This window comes from Homo sapiens, chromosome 4 (assembly GCF_000001405.40).
Source record: "Homo sapiens chromosome 4, GRCh38.p14 Primary Assembly".
NCBI lineage: Eukaryota > Metazoa > Chordata > Mammalia > Primates > Hominidae > Homo > Homo sapiens.
Genome location: NC_000004.12, coordinates 141,579,439 through 141,588,560, shown reverse-complemented (window position 1 = coordinate 141,588,560; position 9,122 = coordinate 141,579,439). Strand labels below are relative to the sequence as shown.

Below are 9,122 nucleotides of genomic sequence, written 5' to 3'. Positions count from 1 at the left end.
AACTCCAAACCTTCTCATTATAGCAGGGAGGGACACATCCCACCTGTCCATAGACCTGCTGGGAGGCACACCTGTCTGAGCCACTGGGATAGTCTTCTGGACTTAAGTTTCTGGCCAGTACTCTCACATAGCACCAGTATCCTTTTTGGGTCTTCCCTAGGTATGTCTGGGCTGAAAAGCCGCGTCTACCTCAGAGTCCCCATGTGATTCGTGGCAAGCCCGGGCTTAGAGCATTTTCTAGTGCTGTGATAACTGCAATGGTCACAGGATCACAGGACTCAACAGTCAATCTGGAGGGCCTCCAGGGATTGTTATGAGGGGCTATAAGCATGTTACCTTCTTTGGCTTTCAGTAAAAAGCCAGGCTGAAAAAAACTAAAATAAATACCTAATCCCTCAGTGCACATATATCATTGCCCATCCATAAGCATCAGGAATATTCAGTGAAATATGACTCACCAAATATGACTCACCAAAAAATAAGATTGAGAGACCAGTCCTAAAGTGATGGAGACATGTGATCTCTTACACAAAGAATTCAAAATAGTGGTTTTTAAGGAAGTTCAATGAACTTCAAGAAAACAGATAATTAATTCAGAAATTTATCGGATAAATTTAACAGAAAAATAGAAATAATTTATTAGAAATCAAACAAATCCTGGAGCAGAAAAATAGAATTAATGAAATTAAAAATGCAATAAAGAGCATCAACAGCAGAATTGATGAAACAGAAGAATGAATTAGTGAGATCAAACACACAATATTTTAAAATGGACACTCAGAGGAGAAAAAAGAAAAAGCAACAAAGAAAGCTTACAGGATATTTGTGGCAACATCAAAAGGGCAAATATTTAGGTTATTACAGTAAAAGAAGAAACTGAAAGACAAAGGGATAAAAAGTTTATTCAAATAAATAATAACAGAAAACATTTCAAACCTGAAGAAAAATATAAATATTCAGGTAGAGGAAAGTTAGAGGTCACCAATCAGATTCAACCCAAATAAGAATACCTCAAGACATATTATAATAAAACTCTCAAAGTTCAAAGACAAAAGAGCATCCTGAGAGCAGTGAGAGAAAAGTAACAATTACTATCTAAGGGAGATCCCATATGCCTGGCAACAGAATTCTCAGCAAAAACCTTACAGGACAGGAGAGAGTAGGGCAATATTAGAGTGCTGCAGGAAGAAACCTGCCAACCAATAATATTCTATTTTGCAAAGCTATGTTTCATAAATGAGGGCAAGATAAAAATGCTCACAGACAAACAAAAGCTGAGAAATTTTATTGTAACCAGACTCGTCCTATAAGAAATGTTACAGGGAGTTCTACAAATCAAAAGAAGAGGACACTACCATGATTGTTACACTAACATTGTAATTGAGGTGTGTAAAACACTTATATCTATATTAAGAAGACTAAAAGATAAAACTATTAAAAAATAATAGCTGCAAAAATTTGTTAAGAGATCAGAAATATTATAAAAATGCAAATTATGGCATCCAAAATTCAAAATGTGGAGTAAGAAAGGTGTTAATACATAAAAAATTTATTTGTGTTTATGTTTCTCTTTTTTTGTAATAAATGTTCACGTCAGTTTTAAATACCTTGTTATAACGAAGTGTTTTAGTATACCTCATGGTTACCACAAAGCAAAAATCTATAATAGACACAGTAAAAACAAAAAACAACAACTTAAAATAGACTACCAGAGAAAATCACTTAACCACAAAGGACTATGGTAAAAAAGGAAGAAGGAGGAAAGGAGTCACAAAACAACTAAAAAACAAGTAACCAAAATGGCAGTAGTAAGTCTTTACCTATCAATAATATTGTTGCGTGCAAATGGGCTGCATTCTTTCATTAACAAACAGAGTGGCTGAATAGATTAAAAAGCAAGACCCAACTATATACTGCCTACAAGAAACTTACTTCACCTATAAAAACACACATAAACTAAAAGTGAAAGTATGGGAAAAGATATCTTACACAAACGGAAGCCAAAAATAGCAGGAATATTCATACTTATATCACATGAAATAGACTATAAGTCACAAGCTGTAAAAGGAGACACAGAAGGTCATTATATAATGATAACAGAGTCATTTCAGCAAAAGGATATAAGAGTAGTAAATATATAAGCACCCAATACCAAAGCACCCAAATATATAAAGCAAATATTAATAGTTCTAAAAGAAAAGATAGATTACAATAAAATAACAGTAGAGGACTTTAACACCCACTTTCAGCAATGGACCGATCTATGCAGAAAATCAACAAAGAAACACTGAAGTTAAACTATGCTAGACCAACTAGACCTAACATTTACAGACCATTTCATCCAACTGCTGCAGAATACACATTTTTCTAATCAGCATATGAAACATGTTCAAAGGTAGAACATATATTAGGCCACAAAACAAGACTCAACAAATTCAAAAAAGTTGAAATAATATCAGATATCTTTAGTTACCACAATAGAATAAAACTAGAAATCAATAACAAGAGAAACTTTGAAAACTGTACTAATACGTGGGAAATTTAAAAACATGCTCCAAATGGCCAATAGATCAATTAAGAAAGTAAGAAAATAAAATTAAACATTTTGCTCAAACAAATGAATATAGAAACAACATCTATAGGATACAGCAAAAAGAGTACTAAGGGGAAAATTATAGTAATGAACATTTACATCAAAAAAGGAAAGACTTCAGGCAAGCAACCTAACAATGCACCTCAAAGAACTAGAAAAGCAAGAATAAACCAAACTTAAAATTAATAGAAGGAAAAAATAAAGATTAGAGAAGAAATAATTAAAATTAAGACTAAAAAATTATAAAAGGTCAATGAAACAAAAAGTTGATTTTTTGAAAGGATTAACAAAATTGTCAAAACTTTAGCTAGACTAAGAAAAAAAATAGAGAAAACCTAAATAAATAAAATCAGGGGTGAAAAGGAAACATTACTATAGAATGACACCACAGAAATACAAAGGATCTTTTTAGTATTTATGCTATACCGCAACAGACTGTAAAACCTAGAATACATGAATTAATTTCTAGGTAAATACAACCTACCAAGATTGAATGATGAAGAAATAGAAAAGCTGAACAGAAAAATAGTGAGTACAAGTAATTCAATTTTAAAAATGGGCAAAAGACCTAAATAGACACTACTCAAGATAAGACATACAACGGCCCACAGATGTATGAGAAAATGCTCAACATCACTAATCATCAGAGAAATTCAAATCAAAACCACGAGATATCATCTTACTGAAGTTAAAATGACTAGTATCAGAAAGATAACAAGTCGGCGAGTATCTGGAGAAATAGAAACCTTTGGTATTCTGTTGGTAGAAACATAAGTTAGTACAACCATGATAGAAAACTGTATGGTGGTTCCTCAAAAAATCAAACATAGAACTACCAAAGGATCCAGCAATCCTGTAACTGAGTATATATCTAAAGTATGGTCATTTTCACAATATTGACTATACCCATCCATGAGCATTGGATGTGTTTCTATTTGTTTGTATTGTCTCTGATTTCCTTCAGCAGCATTTTTTAGTTTTCCTTGTAGAGGTTTTCCATGTCCTTGGTTAGGTATATTTCTGAGTATTATAATATTTTTGTGGCCATTGTAAAAGGGGTTGAGTTCTTAATTTGATTCTCAGGTTGGTTGCTGTTGGTGTATAGGAGAACTATTGATTTGTGTACTTAATTTTGTATCCTGAAACTTTGCTGAATTCATTTACCAGTGCTAGGAGCTTTTTGGATGAGTCTTTAGAGTTTTCTAGGTATACGATCATATCATCAACAAACAGTGACAGTTTGACTTCCTCTTTTCTGATTTGGATGCCCTTTATTTTTTTCTCTTGTCTGATTGCTCTGGCTAGGACTTCCAGTACTATGTTGAACAGAAGTGGTGAGAGTTGGGAATCCTTGTCTTGTTCCAGTTCTCAGAGAGAATGTTTTCAACTATTTCTGTTCAGTATAATGTTGGCTTGGGTTTGTTATAGATGGCTTTTATTACCTAAGTTATGTTCCTTCTATACCAATTTTGTTGAGGGTTTTAATCATAAACAGATGCTGGATTTTGTCAAATGTTTTTTTTTTTCCTGCATCTATTGAGATGATCATGTGTTTTTTTAATTGTTTATGTGGTATATCACATTTACTGACTTACATATGCTAAATCACCCCTGCATCCCTGGTATGAAACCCACTTAATCATGGTGGGTTATCTTTTTGACATGCTTTTGGATTCAGTTTGCTAGTATTTTGTTGAGGATTTTTGCATCTATGTTCATCAGGGATATTGGTCTGTGGTTTTCTTTTTTTCTTATATTCTTCCATGGTTTTGGTATTAGGGTGATACTGGCTTCACAGAATTATTTCTGCTTATTTTAGGGAGGATCTTCTATCTTTTGAAATAATGTCAATAGGATTGGTGCCAATTCTTCTTTGAATATCTGATAGAATTCAGTTGTGAATCTGTCTAGTCTTGTACTTTTTTATTGGCATATTTTTTATTACCATTTCCTTCTTGGTGCTTGTTATTGGTCTATTCAGACATTGTGTATCTCCCTGGTTTAATCTAGCAGGGTTGTATATTTCCAGGAACGTATCCATCTTCTCTAGGTTTTCTAGTTTATGTGCATAAAGGTGTTTGTAGTAGCCTTAAATGACCTTTAGTATTTCTGTGGCATCCATTGTAATATCTCTCATTTCGTTTCTAATTGAGCTTATTTGGATCTTCTCTCCACTTTTCTTGGTCTATCTTGGAGCATGTTCCATGTGCTGATGAAGAGAATGTATATTCTGCAGTTGTTGGGTAGAATGTTCTGTAAATATCTGTTAAGTCCATTTGTTGTAGGGTATAGTTTAAGTCCATTGTTTCTTTGTTGACTTTCTGTCTTAATGACCTATCTAGTGCTCTCAGTGGAGTATTAAAGTTCCCCACTATTATTGTGTTCTCATCTATCTCATTTCTTAGGTCTAGTAGTAATTGTTTTATAAATGTGGGAGCTCCAGTGTTAGGTGCATGTATATTTAGAATTGTGATATTTTCCTGTTGGACTAGTCCTTTTGTCATTATATAATGTTCGTCTTTGTCTTTTTTAACTGCTGTTACTTTAAAGTTTCTTCTTTCTTACATAAGAATAGCTACTCCTGCTCTCTTTTGGTGTCCATTTGCATGGAATATTTTTTTCCACCCCTTTATCTTAAGTTTATGTGAGTCTTTATGTGTTAGGTAAGTCTGCAGAAACTTGGTCAGTGAATTCTTATCCATTCTGCCATTCAGCGTCTTTTAAGTGGAGCATTTAGGCCATTTACATTCAATGTTAGTATTGAGATGTGAGGTACTATTCTATTCATCATACTATTTGTTGCCTGAATATCCTGTGTTTTTTCCATTGTATTATTGTTACACAGGTCCTGTGAGATTCATGCTTGAAGGAGGTTCTATTTTGGTGTATTTCAAAAATTTATTTCAAAATTTAGGGCTCCTTTTATAAATAGCATTCTTATAGTGCTGGCTTGGTAGTGGTGAATTCTCTCAGCATTTGTTTTCTGAAAAATACTCTATCTTTCCTTTATTTATGAAGCTTAGTTTCCCTGGATACAAAATTCTTGGCTGATAATCTTTTTTTCTAAGGAAGCTAAAAATAGGACCCCAATCCCTTCTATCTTGTAGGGTTTCTTCTGAAAAATCTGCTGTTAATTTGATAGATTTTCCTTTATAGGTTACCTGATGCTTTTGCCTAACAGCTCTTAAAATTCTTTCCTTTATCTTGATTTTAGATGACCTGATGACTACATGCCTAGGCAATGATCTTTTTGTAATGAATTTCCAGGTGTTCTTCGAGCTTTTTGTATTTGGATGTCTAGATCTCTAGCAAGGCTGGGGAACTTTTCCCCAATTATTCCCTCAAATAGATTTTCCAAACTTTTAGCTCTCTCTTCTTCCTTGGGAATACCAATTATTATTAAGTTTGGACATTTAACATCATCCCAAACTTCTTGGAGGCTTTGATCATTTTTTAAATTCTTTTTTCCTTGTCTTTGATGGGTTGGGTTAATTCAAAAGCCTTGTCTTTGAGCTCGAAGTTCTTTATTCTGCTTGTTTGCGTCTATTGCTGAGACTTTCCAGTGCATTTTGCATTTCTCTTGTGGCAGTCCAGATCTCACTCACAACTGTTTCAGTACTGACTAAACGGTTAAGTTAAATATTAAAAGTCAGTGCCCTTATACAAAGGCTGGGATGTAACAAAAGTCCACCAAGAATTCTGCCTAGGCCTTTCCTGGGCCTTAAACCACGACAAAATAAAAAAGGAATTCTTAACAGAACCCATTTAGGATTAAACAAGTTGTACTGTCAGTCTGAAGAAACTCCCCAGGCCTCCACAAACAAGTTTATTGGGAATCTAAAGGAACTGTTCAAACCTCTGTGATTTAGCAAGACACAAAATAAGGGTAATCAGCCCAGCATCTGAACCAACTTAAATGAGATAAATTTACTGAGGCTTCAGAGGAAGGTCTTCAGGACTCAGACCTTAGTTATAGATTAAGTTAATCACTTATGTCTTTAGATAAATGCACACTTGCATGTAAACGTATAGCTTAGAAGGTATGTAAGCTCTGGAAAACTTTGTAATTTTAGGTTGGTCTGGCAATAATTTCCAGGCTTTCTCCCTGTAAGCAGTTACAAAACTAAAAACTCTCTTCCTCCCCAGTTCATCTGCATCTTGATATTGGGCCACAAGAAAGAGCAGCCCAGCCGTCAGTTTGGTCCAGGAACACTATGAGTGTGTCCTTGATTTCCAGAAGTTGTGATTGTTTTTTATTTATGCTCTTTATTTCACTGAAGAATTTTCCTTTCATATCTTGTATCATGTTTTTTATTTCTTTAAGTTGGACTTCACCTTTCTCTGGTGCCTCCTTGATTAGCTTAATAATCAACCATTTGAATTCTTCTTCTGGCAATTCAGAAATTTCATCTCGGTTTGGATCCATTGTGGTGAGCTGGTATGATCTTTTGGGGGAAGAAGAACCACGTTTTGTCATATTACCAGAATTGTTTTTCTGGTTCGTTCTTATTTGGGTAGATTATGTCTGAGGGAAGATCTGGGATTCAAGGGCTGCTGTTTACATTCTTTTGTCCCACAGGGTGCTCCCTTGATATATTATTCTACCCCTTCTCCTAGGACTGGGGCATCCTGAGAGCCAAACTATAGTGATTGTTTTTGCTCTTTTGTGCCTGGCCACCCAGCGGAGCTCCTGGGCACTGGGCTGGTACTGGAGAGTGTCTGCAAAGAGTCCTGTGATGTGACCCATCTTCAGGTCTTGAAGCTGTAGATACCAGCAGCTGCTCCAGTGGAGGTGGCAGAGGAGTGAAGTAGACTCTGTGAGGGTCCTTGGTTGTGTTTTTGTTTAGTGCACTGGTTTTGTGTTGTTGGCCTTCACCCAGGAGGTGGTGCTTTCAGAATGCATCAGCTTTATATCAGGTCCTATAGGGAGGATGCAAACTTGCCCTAAGGACACCAGGTTAAGTATTCAGGTTTCTCTGGTGTTGGGCGGGCCATAGAGCTCCCAAGAGATTATGACCTTTGTCTTCAGCTACCAGGGTGGGTAGAGAAAGACCATCAGTTGGGGCAGGGATAAGAATTTCTGAGCTCAGCCTCTCCTTGGGCAGGGCTTGCTGTGGCTGCTGTGGGGAATGGAGGTGTAGTTCCCAGTTTAATGGAGTTACATTCCCAGGGGGATTATGGCTGCCTCTGCTGAGTCATACAGGTCACCAGTGAAATGGGAGAAAGCTGGCAGTCACAGGCCTTACTCTATTCCCACACAGCCTGCAGTCCTAAAGGCTGGTCTCACTTTCACCATGCCCCCTTCCCCCAATAACACTGAGTCTATTTCCAGGCAGCCAGTGACCAGGGCTTAGAACCTGCCCCAGACCACAAGCCTCCTCATTAAGAAAGCAAGCAGACTCACAATTTTTCAGCATCTCAGGAAGCTTGCAGAGGTGATCCAGTTCCTTCAAAGCGCCTGTGGATTCTTTCTGCTTTCCTGGTATGTTCCTGCAGTAGTTACTGGTGCAAAAGTTCATGATGTGAGTCTTCACATGCTGCTCTATCCATCTGAGCTGTAGCTGCAAGCTAGTCCTGCTTCCTGTCTGCCATCTTACCTAGAAGAGAAGATTTTGAATGTTCGGACTATAAAGAAATAATAAATGCTTGAGGTGATGGATATGCTCATTACCCCAAATGTGATCATTACACAATGTTTACATGTATTGAAACATCACATTGTACCCCATAAGTATGTACAATTATCATGAGTCAATTAAGATAAAAGAAAGAAGGAAAGAAAGAAAAAAAAGAAAGAAGAAAGAAAAGAGAAAGAAAAAGAAAGAAAGAGAAAGGAAGAAAGAAAGAAAGAAAGAAAGAAAGAAAGAAAGAAAGAAAGAAAGAAAGAAAGAAAAAGAAAGAGAAAGAAAGAAAAAGAAAGAAAAGAAAGAAAGAAAGAAAGAAAGAAAGAAAGAAAGAAAGAAAGAAAGAAAGAAAGAGAAAGAAAGAAAGAGAAAAAAGAAAAGAGAGAGAATTGGTGGATCACAATATAGACGCATGGATAACTTTAGAAAACAGCTGATAAATTTATTCCCAAAGTGGGTGTCTTTTCTATTCTCTCACCAGTGATATACAATGTTTCCAGTAATCTACATTTTCATCAAGACTTGACATGGTCAGTCTTTTATTATTTGTTTGTTTTATTATCTTACTGCATTGGCTAAAATAATCTATTCAATATTGAATAAAAGTGAGCTCCCTTGCCTTGTTCCAGAAATGATGGTTATACTGTTCAATATGTCACCATTAAGCACAATTCTAGCTGTATGTTATTTTCTTTGTAAAATTGAGAAAGTTCTCCTCTATTACTAGTTTGTTGAGAGTTTGTTAATCAAACTTGAATTTTATTAAATGCTTTTTCTGCACTTATTGAGATAAACATTTAGCTTTTCCCGTTTATTCAGTTAATGTGATAGTGAATTATATTGATTAGTTTTTGTATGTTAAGGCAAACACACAATTTTTTAGATAATCACTTCCCAATAAAACC

General features: G+C 35.5%; 1 annotated feature.

Moving 5' to 3' along the window:
- Window positions 7,074-8,273: an enhancer, noted in NCBI's record as "CDK7 strongly-dependent group 2 enhancer chr4:142501441-142502640 (GRCh37/hg19 assembly coordinates)". NCBI's record gives its function as "activates an origin of replication core promoter dependent on BRD2, BRD4, P300/CBP, MED14 and CDK7 cofactors, with strong dependence on CDK7, by STARR-seq in HCT116 cells {active_cell/tissue: HCT116}" and the evidence as "EXISTENCE:reporter gene assay evidence [ECO:0000049][PMID:35650434]".